Source organism: Homo sapiens, chromosome 4 (assembly GCF_000001405.40).
Source record: "Homo sapiens chromosome 4, GRCh38.p14 Primary Assembly".
NCBI lineage: Eukaryota > Metazoa > Chordata > Mammalia > Primates > Hominidae > Homo > Homo sapiens.
Genome location: NC_000004.12, coordinates 5,961,896 through 5,978,491, shown reverse-complemented (window position 1 = coordinate 5,978,491; position 16,596 = coordinate 5,961,896). Strand labels below are relative to the sequence as shown.

General features: G+C 50.0%; 1 protein-coding gene across 7 annotated transcripts in view, besides 4 other annotated features; it reads left to right on the top strand.

The window, feature by feature from the left end:
- Positions 1–16,596, top strand: part of C4orf50 (chromosome 4 open reading frame 50) — a 120,960-nt gene that overhangs the window by 40,055 nt on the left and 64,309 nt on the right. For 6 of the 7 annotated variants that reach the window (XM_017008893.2, XM_047415667.1, XM_047415663.1 and 3 more), the window contains 4 exons: positions 2,537–2,593; positions 4,651–4,833; positions 11,030–11,078; positions 13,347–13,468. In XM_017008893.2, coding sequence (XP_016864382.1) covers positions 2,537–2,593; positions 4,651–4,833; positions 11,030–11,078; positions 13,347–13,468 — 411 coding nt within the window. Of the gene's footprint in view, positions 1–2,536; positions 2,594–4,650; positions 4,834–9,432; positions 9,973–11,029; positions 11,079–13,346; positions 13,469–16,596 lie in introns of those variants that run through there. The other variant, XM_047415666.1, reaches the window with a different exon arrangement.
- Positions 3,950–4,510: an enhancer, noted in NCBI's record as "H3K4me1 hESC enhancer chr4:5975709-5976269 (GRCh37/hg19 assembly coordinates)". NCBI's record gives its function as "activates a minimal SCP1, AML or CMV promoter by ChIP-STARR-seq in naive H9 embryonic stem cells {active_cell/tissue: H9 hESC(naive)}" and the evidence as "EXISTENCE:reporter gene assay evidence [ECO:0000049][PMID:30033119]".
- Positions 4,511–5,072: an enhancer, noted in NCBI's record as "H3K4me1 hESC enhancer chr4:5975147-5975708 (GRCh37/hg19 assembly coordinates)". NCBI's record gives its function as "activates a minimal SCP1, AML or CMV promoter by ChIP-STARR-seq in naive H9 embryonic stem cells {active_cell/tissue: H9 hESC(naive)}" and the evidence as "EXISTENCE:reporter gene assay evidence [ECO:0000049][PMID:30033119]".
- Positions 6,694–7,504: an enhancer, noted in NCBI's record as "H3K4me1 hESC enhancer chr4:5972715-5973525 (GRCh37/hg19 assembly coordinates)". NCBI's record gives its function as "activates a minimal SCP1, AML or CMV promoter by ChIP-STARR-seq in naive H9 embryonic stem cells {active_cell/tissue: H9 hESC(naive)}" and the evidence as "EXISTENCE:reporter gene assay evidence [ECO:0000049][PMID:30033119]".
- Positions 10,505–10,594: a silencer, noted in NCBI's record as "silent region_15225". NCBI's record gives its function as "represses an Ori minimal core promoter by ATAC-STARR-seq in GM12878 lymphoblastoid cells {active_cell/tissue: GM12878}" and the evidence as "EXISTENCE:reporter gene assay evidence [ECO:0000049][PMID:35858748]".

Genomic DNA, 16,596 nt, shown 5'->3' with positions numbered 1-16,596 from the left:
TATTTTCATTCTTTTTTCTTTCTGCTCAGTTTCAATATTTCCTTTGAATCTCTCTTCCAGCTAAATAGTACTCTTTGGATGAATCTAATTTGCTCCTAAACTCACTTTAGTTCTTAATTTCAGTTAGTCTATTTTGCAGGTGGAGAATTTCCCTATGATTCTTTTTTTTATAGTTCTCAGTTTTATGATGAAATTTTTGTAATGTAATTCCTGAACATCTCTATCGCAGTTGCTTTAAAGAGGAAGAGTGTCTCTGATAACTTCATTTTATGTTCTCACCAGCAGTGTAGGAAGGTTCCAACTTCTCATTCTCACTAACATTTGCTACTAGCTGTCTTTTCTATCATAGACATCCTAGTTAGTGGGAGATTGTCTCTCATTGGTTTTGAGCTGTATTTTCTGATGGCTAATAATGTGGAACATCTTTTCACGTGCTTGTGGGTCATTTGTATGTCGTATTTGAAGAAGAGTTTATTCAGATTCTTCCCATTTTTCTAATAGGGTTAATTGACTCTCTTTTTGTTGAGTTGTGAGAGTTCCTTTTATGTTCTAGATAGAAGTCCTTTATTAGATATATGATTTGCAAATATTTCCTCCAATTCTGTAGGTTATCTTTTTAATTTCTTCTTGTTCACTTTTTGATTGCAAATGCCCAATACTTATCTCACTGTGGCATATTTATGTTATTTCCTAAACTGAAGCAGACAGAAGGTTTAATCCAAGGCTGCAAATATGATTGAGTGCTTTTTGAATGTAAGACAGTCTGCTTAAGGCTGGAATTTTACTCTTTGAATACGTTAGGAATGCTGTGCCAAAACAGATATATGGAAATATGCATTGAAATCTTCTTTGTAAAACAAAGAAACAGAACTAAGATAAATTTCCATAAACAAGGAACTGGTTAAATCAATTTTGTTTTGACTTTGTAATTAAATAACATGCAAGCTTTTAAAAGAATGAGGTCAGTTTCTATGTGTTAATATGAAAATACCATCAAAATTTTTGTATCACATACAAAGTGATCTCATTCTTTTAAAATCTTGCATATTATTTAATTATGAAGCAAGATGCAAGACCTTTTGCACAGTATAATTTCATATACACACATTCTGATCCATATAGGTATGTTGGTCCGAAGAGTTTGGGGGTGAGGAAGAGGCTTGCGGCTTTTTATTTGATTTTTTTAACTGACTGCAAAGGGACTGAGAGAGTTAGAAGAACTCACACAACACCTGTTTTGTTGTATCTTATGGGTCCAGAATTCAGATAGGACTCGGCTAGGCTGTTCCGCCCTCCAGGGGATCAGTGGGCATGACTCAGTGGCATCCGGCTGGATGCCAGTCTCGGCTGGGGGGTCCCCGGCGGCCTCACTCACATCCTGCCCCCTCTGCAGGGTGGCGGAAGGCAGCTCCCGCTGGTGCCTTCCCTTTTTTCTGTCATGTCTCACGGTCTCCCCAGAGGGCACCTGGAATTCTTAAATCCTGGCTCAGAAACAGAAGAGACCCAAAGTGGAAGCTGCCAGTCCTATTCAGTGCCAGGCCCACAAAGGCCTCAGGGCCACTTCCACTGCATTCTATGAGTCAAGGCATCTCAGGCCAGCCCAGATCTGAGGGAAGGTGATAGGAACCCCCTCCATGGGGAGCAGTCTCAAAGAATCTGTGTCCAGCTTTCATCTGCGCCTAATAGTAACATTAGTTTATTGATCACTGACAGGTGCCAGGGCTTGTTCTAAGCACTTTACATGGATAGGTTCACTGAATCCTCACTACAGTTCTCACCAGTGGGTGGGCACTCCTATGAGCCCCCTTCACAGATGAGAAGACTGAGGCAGAGAGTGTCTTGCACAAGATCTCAGTTCCAGCGACTGGCTGAGCCGGGATTAGGACCCCTGCTGTCTGGCTCAGGAACTTGTATGTTTACCACAAGACCAGAAAACTGCCAGGCTGCCTGGAGACTCAGAAGAGGGCTTGGAGCTGGCCCCAGCCACTGCAGCTGGGCAGAGCTGATTCTTTTTTTTTTTTTTTTTTTTTTTTTCCGAGACAGAGCCTCGCTCTCTCGCCCAGGCTGGAGCGCAGTGGCGCAATCTCGGCTCACTGCAAGCTCCGCCTCCTGGGTTTACGCCGTTCTCCTGCCTCAGCCTCCTGAGTAGCTGGGACTACAGGTGCCCACCACCACACCTGGCTAATTTTTTTTTTTGTATTTTTTTTTTTAGTAGAGATGGGGTTTCACTGTGTTAGCCAGGATGGTCTCGATCTCCTGACCTCGTGATCCGCCCACCTCGGCCTCCCAAAGTGCTGGGATTACAGGCGTGGGTCACTGCGCCCGGCCAAGCTGATTCTTGAGTATTCAGAATATCTGTCCTCCCCTGATCCTGCCAGGCAGGTGGTGGGAAAGGCCCCTGTTCCTGGCACTGAGTCCCCATGAGGGTAAAGAGGGCAGGCAACTGCCAGCTGTTCTGAGCCCAGCTTGCCTGGGGAAGCTCTGGACAGTGGTAAGTGACAGTGCAGTGTTGTCAAAAATGTCGCTTTTATTTCAGCTTGAAGAACTTCAGAAAAAGCAACATGAAGCAAAGTTGGCAGTGACTCCCCTGAAGGTAATATGTTCATAAAATCAACATGAAATGCCTCTTTCAAAACAAAAGAGAGTTTAGTAGTTTTCCTGTTAGACATGTAATCCACCTCTATTGTATAAAAGTCTGGGTAGGGCCAGGCACGGTGGCTCACACCTGTAATCCCAGCACTTTGGGAGGCTGAGGCGGGTGGATTGCTTGAGCTCAGGAGTTTGAGACCGGCCTGGGCAACATGGCCAAATCCCATACAGGCGTGATGGCATGCGTCTATAGTCCCAGTTACTTGGGAGGGCTGAGGGGGGAAGATTGCTTGAACCCAGGAGGTCAAGGCTGCAGTGAGCCGAGATCACGTCACTGCTCTCCAGCTTGGGCAACAGAGTGAGACCCTGACTCAAAACAAAACAAAACAAAACAAAACAAAACAAAAAAACCGCAAAGAAGAATGAAGGAGACAGAAAGCAGCAGCCCCTGCTTGCACATGGCATTTCCATGTCTTTTCCTCCAGTACGTTTCCCATGTGTTTGAGAGCCTACGATGCGTATACGTTTGCCTCCTGCTGTTCCCACTCGATGGGGTGACCTAGGAGGTGGGTCCCAGCCTTTGAGGCTGCACTTTTCATGCTGGGGTGAAGCACGAGAGGCCTTGGTCCATAAAATCACCACCCCTGCGCTCTGTGCTCAAGCCCCTTCCTTTCTATCACTCTCTCTTTTGTATCATTAATTGTGTGCAAACACTGTGATGTAGTTTTTTTTTTTTTTTTTTTTTTTTTTTTTTTTTTTTTTTGAGATGGAGTGTCACTCTGTCGCCCAGGCTGGAGTGCAATGGTACGATTTTGGCTCACTGCAACCTCTGCCTCCCAGGTTCAAGTGATTCTCCTGTCTCAGCCTCCCAAGTAGCTGGGATTACAGGCATGTGCCACCACACTTGGCTAATTTTTGTATTTTTAGTAGAGACAGGGTTTCACCATGTTGGCCAGGGTGGTCTCGAACTCCTGACCTCAGGTGATCCACCCCCTCTTGGCCTCCCAAAGTGCTGGGATTACAGGCATGAGCCACCGTACCCGGCCAATGTACAGGTTTTCTCAGAAAGGTTTTCTCCACGTATCTAGACATTTATGTTTAAGATCAATTCCCAGAAATGTCATTACTCACCCATGGGGTTTAATATATTCTTTGCTAGCAGGACACAGAATTTGGTCAAGGTAACACATTTCATCTTGAACATGGGCCTGGATCTGAGGAGAAGCTGGGGGCTCTGCTCTTTCTCTCTGGCCTCAGGGCAGAGTGGAGAGGGAGGTGCCCTGGGCTGGGCATCAGCAGAACCTGGTTATGCCCTGGACTCCCGCTGACCTGCAGAGTCATCCTCCCTCTGGGGCCTCAGTGTCGTCAGCCGTCAAATCAGAAACATGAGCCAGACAGTTCCTAAAGTTATTTTCCACCCCACATTTCCGTGTCTGTCTGAGCCTCGAGTTGGCGCCCGTAAAATAAAAATCGTCATAATTCCTGCCGCGCCCCTGCAGACGTGGTAGCTGGAAAGGTGCAGAGCGGACGGTGAGGCTCCGGCAGTGTGAGGCTTCCCTCCCCACCGCTCTCATCACCATCATTTGCTGTGGAGCATTTCTTTAAATGGAGGCCATAATCCCTTATAAAGTGCTATCGAAATGTGAGATAAGGATAGAAACATGACACTCGGTAGGTGCCTGCCTGCGCCGTCTCCTTTTATCCTGGTGTCCATGACAAAGCCCATTGTACAGATGGGCAAGTCGAGGTGCAGAGGGGAGCTTGCTCACAGAGCTGGTCCGTGGTGGGGCCCAAATCCACGCTCTTGACCCCTGCTGCCTTGAGCCTAGACCCCATGGAAAGGGCAGTGCGGAGCCCCTGGGGGTGTGTGGCCGTCTGCTCCGAAAGCAGCCTGGCTTCTGGGGGCAGGGAGGCTTCGCAGGGAGGAGGCTGCTCCGCTGAGCTGAGGCAGGGCTGGGGATGGTGAGTAGGGGCCTCAGCTGACCCTCCGGCCCCCAGCCCTCCAGCTCAGCCATGCAGCCCTGGTGGGAGCTCTGCATCCATGGCCTCCCTCCCTTTCAGGCCAAGATAGCTTCCCTCGTCCGGAAGTGCCGGGAGAGGAACCGCCTGATCACCCACCTGCTGCAGGAGCTGCACAGACATGGGCTGGGGAACCTCCTGCTCTCCGAGCTGGCGCAGAACATGCTCAACGACGTGGCACTGGCTGAGTACACGGCCACCTTCCTGGCTCCGGGAGTCCCAGAGGTAGAGTCCCAGAGATGGCCCTGTCTGTGCTTCCTATGGGAGTGTGGGCGCGTCCCTTGCATGCCCCTGCCTGACTGGAGCAGCCCCTCCTTTCCTCCCTCCCTCCCACCGCGGACACTACCCAAGAAGACACCCCCTGGCTTTTCCTCTGTGCCCATGCCCATGCCCTGGGTGGGCATGGGAAGATGCATCTGGCAATCCTTACCCTTTATGGTGCTCAGGAAATGGTGCAAGGCACAGACGTAAACAGTGATTGTAATTCAGCGTCATACAAGCTTCATTGGGTGTGTGTCACAGGATGGGTCTTTTGTGCCGGGACCTGTGCACTGGCCACTTCCTCTAGCAGGCTGCTTTGGTCACCCCATGACCTCCTGTCCATCCTTCAAGGTAGAGGTGTGACCTTGCCCAGGCAGCCTGCTCTGAGCCCCGCAGACCAGAGAGTTAGCCACAGCTTCCTCTGTGCTCCATTGCACGTGGCCCCGCGTGACGGGGCATGAGCAGGGAGCTCTCCTGGCTGTTGCAGGAGTTTGTGGGCCCATCTCCGATGGGCCCAGAGCCGCTCCATAGCCATCTTTGTCTTCCCAGTGCCTGGCTCTGAGAATCTGCCACAAACCTGGAAGAATGTTGGTTGAATGAATGAAATAATGAACCAAATGAATGAGAATCTCCTCTCCCAGTGGTCAACAGAAGAGGAAGCTGAGGCCAGAGAGGTTAGGAGATGTGCTCCGGGTCACACAGGCAGTGCACACAGGGACAAATGCCAGCTCTCCTGACTACAGTCAGCACCCACGGGTGCCCAGCCGTGCCTGCCCACACATATACATGCAGCCCCGTTCCTGGGGACAAGCCAGCAACGCCCCCGCCAGACTAGCTCCGCTCCTTATGTGCGCGGGTGAGACCAGCTCCCACGGTAAACACAGCCGGGGCTGTTTTCCATGGTCCCTCCAGGCTCTGCCTGTGGGGCTTGCTCTCAGCCCCTTGGCACCAGGTCTGAGTCTCTCTCTGCAGCTCTGCCCAGCCTGGTCTCTGCAAGGCCAACCTCCTCTGACCCTTCCTTTTCCTCACAGCCTTGAGAGGTCCCCTCTGGTCCAAATCATTGCACAGCAGAGATGGAGGCTTGGAGGCCAAGAGGCATGTTCAGGGCCATTTTTTGACTCAATTCATAGGCAGAACTTGAATCCAGAGCCCCAGACTCCCAGTCTGTTGCTCTTCTCTTTGCCCAAGGGGTACAAGACTCCTTCAGAACTAGAATAAGGGTGAGAAAAGAGAGCAGAATTTTGTCCAAGTGCCTGCATAGTCCTTGGGATCCACTAGGGGCCTGATATCTGGGGGTTAAGTGAGATAAAATTGAAAGCAGGCCGGGCGCGGTGGCTCGTGCCTGTAATCCCAGCACTTTGGGAGGCCGGGGCGGACAGATCACAAGGTCAAGAGATCGAGACCATGCTGGCCAACATGGTGAAACCCCGTCTCTACTAAAAATACAAAAATTAGCTAGGCGTGGTGGCATGTGTCTGTAGTCCCAGCTACTCAGGAGGCTGAGGCAGGAGAATCTCTTGAACCCGGGAAGTGGAGGTTGCAGTGAGCCGAGATCACACCACTGCACTCCAGCCTGGTGACAGAGCAAGACTGTGTCAAAAAAAAAAAAAAAAATCGAAAGCAGAGTTCCAGGTTGTGAAAGTATCAAATTGCAAATGCAGCAGGTGTCACCCTGGAAGGCCGGCTGGCTGGCTGCTGTGGGGACATCATAGCAGCAGCCCACCTTCCAAGGGCTGCTCCTCACTCTCACAGGCCCTGGAACTAGAATTGAAATGTTCACTGGGGTTGGATCGGCTGACTTACAATGACCAAACTTACAGAGAATGATGTATACACTGGACTATTAATTTTTAAATATCCTATGAGAAAGAGAACTATTACACAGGTTGAAGTATCTGATGAATGGATGAAAAATTGTCAGCGTATTCTCTCCCTATAGTTGAGTTATCTGGAAAATCAAATTTTTTCAGTCATTTCTTCATCTGTCACTTGAGAGCCCAGAACGAGAGCAGGGAAAGTTATTTTAATAATGTCATCGGACGGATTCATTCATTTCCTATAAGGATGTGCTTCTGGGCCTGGACACGCTTCCGTGGACCAGGATGTCCCTGCCAGGCCTTTTGAAAGTGAAAAAAAAAAATTGTGATGTGTTTCAGAAATTCAGAGAGCTCCAGGCTGGCTGCAGTGTGGTCCCCAGGGGAGGAGTCGGGGGAGGCTGGGCTGATGGGAGGCCACAGGCACCTGTGCCCCGGCAGGGTGTCTGCATCTTGATTCCTAGTGGACAGCAGGGTGGGCGTGGCGCTGGCCACTCCTCCTACTGGTAGCCAGGCAGGAAGCGGGTCCAGTGCTGCTTGCTTGATGGGCAGTCAATTCAGAGGACACAGATGGAATTCCCGATGGGGGCCTTTGGGCTCTGGCTAGGAGCCCAGGAGGACTGCCAGGATGGCTGGGGAGACTCTGATGGGCTGGAGGTGAGAAGTGCCAGAGCAGCAAGGGACAGGTCCTGGGAACTTCAGCCAGGCGGTGGAGGGCTGATGTACCTTCCAGGAATACCCCTGGAGGGCCCTGGGCTCCTGTTGCTCACAGTGTCCTGAGACGCTCCCATTCTCTGGCCCCTGCCTTTGGGTAGGGGGCGTGGGCTGGCTAGGGTCCCAACTGGACAGGCTGCCTTCATTTATCCAGCCAAGTCATGGTGGCCAAGACTCATGCTGCCCTCCCCCTCGCACGCTCTCCATGGATCTGCTTACTCCACCCTCCCAGCATCCTGCTGCTAGGCTCCACGGGGGACCCTGAGCCTCAGCATGTCCCAGGGCTGTTGAGGGGGTGGGGGCTGGGCCTTGGGCTGAGGCCACTAAGCTCTACCCTTTCAGGAGGAGGTGGCGTGGCCTGGTGCCCATGCAAGCAGCAGTCGGTGACCACCTCCCCTCCCTGCACGTGACTGAGTCTTTGTATTTCCATTTTCTTTTCTTGTCCTGGTTTGGGTGCGTGGTGGAAATTGAGCCTCAGAGTCGGTTTGGCCCCAGTGCCCTTTCTGCAGGCATGTGGTGTTGGGCTGGGGGCCACGGGTCCCAGCACCGCTGTCTGTGCTGGCATCTGCTGTTGTGCCATCCGGGTCACTAGCGTCCATGGGTCACCCTTGTATCCGCCCTGGCTTCCCTCCTCCTACTCTGCTGATTCTGTCCAGCTCAGGTGCCTGTTTTGGGGATGGGGAAATCCCACGAGGTCAGCCTGGCATGGCAGAGGTCACTTTTCCTTCTGCTGGGAACACGGGTCTTGCCGCCTCCCTGATGTTAGCTGGAGATGGTCCCTCAGGGAAGGCTGTTCTCGGATTCCTAAAACCTCTCTAGAGTTCTTAATTCCGCCTTGTCCCCTGGACGCCTTGAGTGAGCAGGGCTCAGGGCACCTTCCTGGGCCTGTTTTGCTTCCTCTCTATGCCCCCCGACCCCTAGCCCCAGTGGGCCTTTTTTTTTTTTTCCTGTGTTTTGCCTGGACCTACGCTGTTGATATTCACAAGCATGAAATGAGACACCTTTGCTGTTTGTATTCAGTTACATCGTCCCCTTTCCCCGTCCCTGAGACCTTGGAGGCAGAGGCCCGGGTACCAAAGGAGAGGAGAAGAGGGTTGCCGGGGCTCACCTGGGACACAGCACTGGCTAAGATGGCAGCTGGCTCTCCTGCCCACCCCTAGGGTCTGGCCTGGGGTCCACTCCACAGATGGAAGGTCCCGTCAGAGAACAGAGAACTCCTGAGCTTCCTGTGCTCCTAGCTGGGTAGTTTCCTGTCCTCTCCCTGGGAGATTCACCTGCAGATGATGACATCCTGATTCTAAATAATGACCCATGTCATGAACTTGGCACTTGCCCTTCACGTACCTAAGCCACCTGTTATCTTAGGCCAGGTGGGGGCTGCTGTACCCTATGGGGCTTTGTGAGGTTTGAATTAGACTAAAGACCCCATGTCAAATGCCTGGCACAGCACCTGTCACACACAGGCACCCAACAGCTTTTGGGGCACCTTCAAGCAAAACATCAGTTTTGCTCCCCTGGGAGCAGCCAGGGGCCTTGGGCATACTAGCAGGGGAGAGTCATCCAGTCGGGGCAAAGAGGTAGGTGACCTAGTAAGGAAGATGCTCATTTTACCTCCTCTCGCCCTGCTGTTTCCTCCTCCTGCCACCTCCTGCTTTCCTCTGGGTATTTGTCAATGAGATCTAGTTGCGGGCTTTTGGAAATGGAATCTGGTCTAAAAAAGGAGCGGTCATACTCAGACGATTGAAGAATTATCCCTCAAAGCCCTGAACTCCCCCAGTTCATTAAATCAGCAATCCCTAAGCCTGGGCCTCCAAGGATCCAGGCAATTATTTTCTCTTTAACTCCTGCCTTTTATGAAACTTAGAATATTCCCCTAAAAGTTTTCGTGGGGAGAGAGGCAGGGCTCGGGAGAGTGTAGCACAAGTCTTCATCTGTCCCCTACTCGGTATCACTGGCATTTAGTGGACGTTCCTTCTCATCTCATTCTGGTGGATCCCTACAAAGAACATATTGGTACCGTATTTCTGTTCCGCAGATGGAGAGGGTGAGGCTCAGAGAATTCAACGGACTTGGCCAGGATCATGGAATCAGTGAGTGGCAGAGGCAGGACTCAACTTGAGAAAGCCTGGCTCTGCAGCCACTCCAGACCAATGTGGTAGTGGAGGAGCTGGAAGCAGACAAGGGTCCTTGCACCCCAACCACATACCGAATGCAGGGCCACCCAGAAGTCAGTTGAGTGCGCTTGAGGCTACTCTGTCGGTGTATCCTCTACGAAGGCGAACAAAACCCCAGTCTCGCGTTGAAGGAGCCTCTGTCTAATGAGGAGACACCTGACTCTAAACCCAGGGGCAATAAAGGGCATTCATTCAAAGCACTGGAAATAAGCAGAGAGGAGAGAGTGACGGATTGGAGGATATGCTTTCTGGAGTAGGAAGCACTCAGACCAGGCCTTGAAGGACAGAAAGCAGGATTTAACAGCTGGAAGGATAGAGTGAAGGTCTCAAGGCTGCGGGACCTGAGTGGACACAGGCACCGGGGTGGGAGAGTCCAGGGTACTTGAAGACACAACAGTGTCGAAAGGGTGACAGCAAAGTGCTCTAAGAGCACCGTTCAGGAGCAGGCATTGTGCCTGGTACCGAAGCCTCCCAGGAGTGCTGGTGTGATCCGGTCACTACCAGAAGACGGCTGAGCCATAACCCATGCCGCAGAGTATTAAGCCCTCCACCAGTCAATCCAGGTTAGAGGGGACCCTCATAGACCCCAGGTGTCACTGCAGCAGAGAAGGCGCTGTGCGAGAGGCAAGTGGCTGAACTCTGCCAGGTGGAGTCAGGGAAGACTTCACAGAGGAGGCAACATTTGAATTGGGCCTTGACATCTACGTAGAAGTTCACCAGAGACAGAGAGAGAGCAGAGCCCTTTCAGACAGGGAGATGGCCTCCTATACCTGGAGGAAGAGCATGACCAGGATGTTGGAAGTGGAGACAGGAAAGAGTTATCACAGCAGCACTGCACACAGGACCCTGCCCCATCAGAAACACCCAAGAGGAAGTGAGATCCAGGCTGCCAGTCTGGAAACAACTCTAACCTGCCTCGAAGATCCAGCAGTTGCTCTTGCTCAACCACTTGGGGGCCGTCGGCCAACCAGTTGAGTGATCATTGCCATCTCACTTCTCACCTGCCCCGTGCAATGCGGAACCAGGAGGACACTGGTCTGTGCGGTGGTGCAGGTGGTGCACTCAGATTCAAGCCTGACCTGAATTCCTGGGTGATTGAATCAGGGGCCCCAGGGGAGACATCAGAGCACTGGATGTCCTCATTAAAATGTTTTTTAATAGCAGTTTCTAAAGCACTTTTATTACTGTCTCCATTTGGAGATTTAATTTGAGAAAAGGAAATGGAATCGTTTTTTTGTGCCCATGTTTCCTAAGAGCAAAACCAATTCCGTTTTCCTTTGAGCATCCTGGAGAGAAGAGGAGGGAGGTCTTCATGCACACAGGCAGGGTTGGTCCTACACAGAAAGCGGTTTTTTGCGGGGAGGGGTGATGGCCCTGCTTGGTCCAATTGCAGTCTTCTGTGCAAGGCTGTCTCTCCAGTGCCATGCAGAATAACCGCCAAGATGTCTTTTCTTGCAGACAAGCCACCACCTGGACGTCAAGTCTGAGATGACGGCAGCTTTAAGAGGTCAGTGTGATTTTTGATCAGGAAAAGCCTGTGTGCTCAGAAAAAGTCCAGGCCGGCAGGACGCTGTGAGAGGTGGGCCAGAGGGGAGATGCCCACTGTCGCATTCATGCTACTAAAAGGAACAGGACCCACCTCTCCCTCCCGCTTTCCTATGTGGCATTGCCTTCCTATTTCACAATGAGAGAACACACTGGAAAAACAGAAACGTTCAAATTCCTCAGTGCCAGAGTTTCACTCCTGGAAACTCATCCTAAGTAGATAATTCTGTATGTGGAAGGATTCTGTGGACAGGCATGTTCCTGCCAGTGCATCTATAATAGCCAAAAACTGGGAGGAACCCTCAGTATTGTTAATGAACCCATATAATCAGTGAAATACAACATGGTCATTAAAATGGTTCTGAGAAACACCATGCAACAGCATGGGAATTACCATGTTCTACTAAGTTTGAAACTGTTAGGATATGGGCCAGGCGCAGTGGCTCACGCCTGTAATCCCAGCACTTTGGGGGGCCGAGGCAGGCGGATCACGAGGTCAAGAGATGGAGACCATCCTGGCCAACATGGTGAAACCCCATCTCTACTAAAAATACAAAAATTAGCTGGGTATGGTGGCGCATGCTTGTAGTCCCAGCTACTCGGGAGGCTGAGGCAGGAGAATGGCTGGAACCTGGGAGACGGAGGTTGCAGTGAACCGAGATAACACCACTGTACTCCAGCCTAGTGAAAAAGCAAGACTCCGAAAAAAAAAAAAACCTCTTAAGATATGGAATGTTTCATATAATTATAACTGTATAATTCGATGTGCACATCTGGATCTGATCTGCAACTTAGGCTAGGACAGCACCTAAAACATTTGCCGTGGTTACTCAGAGAGTTGGTAACATGAGTGCTTTTTTTTTTTAATTCTGCTATTTTTATTATTTATTTATTTATTTTTGAGAGGGAGTCTCCCTCTGTCGCCCACGCTGGAGTGCAAAGGTGTGATCTCGGCTCACTGCAACCTCCGTCTCCTCAGTGCAAGCAATTCTCTTGCCTCAGCCTCCCGAGTAGCTGAGATTGCAGGCGCCCACTATCATGCCTGGCTAATTTTTGTATTTTTGTAGAGACAGGGTTTCTCCATGTTGGCCAGTCTGGTCTTGAACTCCTGACCTCATGTGATCCACCTGCCTTGCCCTCCCAAAGTGCTGGGATTACAGGCATGAGCCACTGCACCCGGCCTACTTTTATTATTAAAAAGAAAATGAAGCCCCTATCTGACCAGACAGAATTTTCCTGGACCTTGTTTTACTCTTTTTTATTTCAATAGTTTTGGGGGAACAGGTGGTATTTGATTGGGCCTTGTTTAAGCGCAGCTTACTACCCTCAGCGTGGGGGCGGGATGGGGCTCCCAAGGATCTGTTTAGTGTTGTGTTTGGATCAGGTGCACGATAAAACGTGTAGAACGTCTGGATGGTGTTACCTTTAAGACCAAGCTGCTATTGAGATCTGTTCATCTAGTGGTTCTTATTACTAGATTCTCTTCTTGCCAGCTGTGTGGTCTTAGATGAGTTCATTAACCTCTCTGAGCCATACACTCTTTTAAGAGGAGGATAATATGACCTTCCTCTGGAGTGTCTGGACCCTGGCACATAGCAGGATGTCAGTACATGAGCAGAGAAACGTGTTCTCAGTCTTTGACGCCTCAGGATGGGCCTGTCCTTCTCTGCCTTGGCCTTCTGTACCTACAGCCTGACTTGGTGCCTGTTCTCACAGTTGGAGAGGCACAGATCCTAGCTGGTCTGCTTCTGTCACTAATTTTCTCTCTGTGGCCCCAGGCAAGTCTTCTTCCCTCTCTTGCTCAGCTTCATCCCGTTTCAAAGAAGGAAACGCGCTAGACCGATTGAGTTATTTTTTTGTTGGACATTTCTGGAGGGCCGCCACATGCCAGATCCCACATAGGTGTTGCTGCACTTACGAAGCTAAGCCGGCTTGCAAAGGCAGTGGTCCCTGCATGGAATGAGCTTGCAGCCAGGTAGGGGAAGGTGAGGCAGGCAGGCAGGCAGTTTTCTGGGATGCCCCAAGATCATGACAGCACCATCAGAGGCGTATGGGTGAGGTCCTTGGAGAGCTCAAAGGCATCTGAGAGGACCTCTGCCCCGGGGCATGGAAACTGGGAATGATCTGGGAATGGCTAGAGAGTGAAGAAGGTTATGACAAGGCTCAGACACTTGTAGACTTTTCACCTAGGTTCCTGGGTGGAGGCTTGACTGAGAATTTTCCCTTCCAGCTCAGACATACCTCTTGAATCCTGAAATGGACAGTGTCCTCCAAAGCTCATTGTCTTCAGAGTCCTGGCCTATTCCCGAGCCGGAGTGGCCAGCACAGACAGCCCAACTGGATTCTCTGAAGGTGAGAAGGCACCTGTCACCTCATTTCCTAAATGAACTTTGTTATTGAAAGTACAACACATTTACAGCTTAGCAAATTATCCAAGCGATATACACCCAGAAAGCCACCACCAGGTCAAGAAATAGAACACAATCGACTCCCGAACAGCCCCCTGGTTTCACCCTCAGTCTCCTTCTATGATCTAATTTTAATGTTTGTTTCTGGTCAAATCATGTGTCCTAGGTCTGGTGACATTTTTTTTTTTTTTTTTTTTTTTGAGACAGAGTCTTGCTCTGTTACCCAGGCTGGAGTGCAGTGGCGCGATCTCGGCTCACTGCAACCTCTGCCTCCTGGTTTCAAGCGATTCTCCTGCCTCAGCCTCCCAAGTATCTGGGATTACAGGCGCCCACCACCATGCCCGGCTAATTTTTGTATTTTTAGTAGAGATGGGGTTTCACTCTGTTGGCCAGGCTGGTCTCGAACTCCTGACCTCATGATCCACCCACCTCGACCTCCCAAAGTGCTGGGATTACAGGCATGAGCCACCATACCCAGCTGGTCTGGTGACTTTTAGTGGATGCTGGACATCATGTATGAAAACCTTGATGACACAATTTGAGGCCTGACAGTATCTCCATCCACAGAGGACTTCCTTTGTTCTGCTCAGGGCAGGTCATCTTCCTCACATCAAGGCTGAGTCGACAAGGAGTTCCAGTGCTCAGGAGGTCTGCTGCATTTCTGGTTCACACTCACTCCTAGGGCATAAAAGCCTGTTGAGTATTTGAGAGCCCTTTCCCCTGTCGGCCCCAAGAGGCTGCTCAGAGCTCTCCTTAGCTTTTCACCCTCTCAGCTGGCTCCTTCCTGCACAGACCCTGCCTTCACCTCGAGGGAAAATAGGTCCTCAATTGCCCTGCTCGCTTTTCTTGGCTTCTCTTCTGTATTCAGTTTTGGTCCCACAAGTCCTCACAGCCTTTGTAGCTCTCAGATGGCTTCAGACAAATGTTCTGTTAACGTTTCCCCCTAGCTTTTCTAGTTGCACATACTGCAGGTTTGGTCCTAAAGACCCTAATCAGTCATTGCCAGAGCAGCACTCCCCTCTGTCTTCCCAGAGAAAACTTACTTATGAGCTTTGGGGTCTGGCAGATCTGAGTTCAAGTCCCAGCCCTACCCCATTTTAGTTCCCTGTGATGTTGGGCAAGTACTTCATCTGCCTGCACGTAACTGTCAGCTGTGAAATGCGGCTGCCTGCCTCCTACTGTTAGGAGGAGAAATCAGGCAGGCAGAGCTGAGTGTGTGCCTGGCACATCAGAGGTGCTCACAGTAAAAAAGAGAAAGCAGCCATTGCTCAGAAGGAAAACTGCTCTTACTCATTTTATTTCAGCTGATTGTAATTTTTCTCCCTTCTTTTATCCCCATGGATTCTTTCCTGTCTCAATAATTACATTAATTTATTTTATCTAAAAGATAAAAGAGACAATAATATCTACCTCTCAGGCTTGTTGGGACAATTCAATGAAATCATGCATATGAAGTATTTATTATAGTGCCTGGAATCAAAAATAGAGGAGGTATTAAAAAAAAGATAGCTATTGTTATTGACCTTAAACTTTTTTTTCTGATGGGTAAACTTCATTTTAAATGACTTCTTATCTAGTAATAAAAACAAAGCTTTGATCATTCCTAGGATAATTACCTCTGATTTTTTATTTTAATCTACCTTATCAGCAGCAGGTAGAAGATATTCTAGGCAGGCTGGGCGCAGTGGCTCACACCTGTAATCCCAGCACTTCGAGGGGCTGAGGGCAGATCACTTGAGGTCAGGAGTTTGAGACTAGCTGGCCAACATGGTGAAACCCCATCTCTACTAAAAATATAAAAATTAGCTGGGTATGGTGGTACATGCCTGTAGTCTCAGCTACTCGGGAGGCTGAGGCAGAATTGCTTGAACCTGGGAGGCGGAGGTTGTAGTGAGCCAAGATCGTGTCTCTGCACTCCAGCCAGGGCAACAGAGCGAGACTCCATCTCAAAAAAAAAAAAAAAAAAAGAAAAGAAAAAAAAGAAGAAAATATTTTAGGCGAAGGGAGTACTTGTAAAAAGATGGGAGGATGAGTGTCCATGAGGCATTTGGAGGAATGGTAAGCAACATCGCTGGAGCATAAAGTATGAGGAGGTAGAGCGGAGACTAGAAGAGGATAATGACGACAGTGATAGCAACAGCAGCGAAACAGAAAACACACCCAAATCTTACTGCGCCGGCATTGGCTCATCCAGTCCCACAAAGGGCCCACCAAATAGATATCAGCATCAGCTCCACTTAACCTGTGAGAAAAGATGAGGCACAGAGGGGGCAAAGGTCACCCAGCTCATAAGCGGCAGAGCTGGGCTTCCAACCAGGGGCACCTGGCTCCGGAGCTGGCCCTCTGATCATTATGTGGCCAGATGGTGCGTGGCCTGGATGGGGGCGGGGTTGAGAGGAGAGGAGCAGTCCCTCTTCCCTCCCTCAAAGTTCCAATCTGGAGCTCAGTGTGAGAACAAACCCTCTAATGTCTGCTGTCAGTGACACTGGCCAGAAACCTGTAGCAAAGCTTTTGAGGAAATAGTTGGAGTAATATGTTGCATGAATGGATAAACCAAAAATGCATCTTAATACCCTTATGGTTCCAAGTTGGTCAGGTGTTCTTCAGCTTTCTTCAAAGTTATCACTAAAAACACAGAAGGTCACTGGACTGGAAACCTTTCCTCTGTTGGAAATCATTTCAAGTCCATAGGGGACTTCAGTTTCTTTGCAGCAAGATGGCAGAATGTCAATTTAAATGTTTTTCCCATGTTTTGCACAGTACCTGGCCCATGGGAGGCCTTCAGAAGCACTTGTTGGGTGAATAGTTAGCCAGAGACAGGGGCCATCAGGCTGTTTCTCTGGAAGGTACACGGCACCTGCTCCTGGTTCCCAGCACTGCATTTTCGCTGCAGTCTTGGTTCTGTCCAGTCGTCATGAGCATTTGGGAACAGAGCTCCTTGCCCTGGGCAAAAACAGACAGCAAGCCATGTATCTGGGCTGGTTTTGGGGAAGAGCTTCCCATGCTGAAAACAAACTTGTTAAATAATGACACCAGGGGATTAGTGACCTACAAGGAAAATGAGGTCATGGA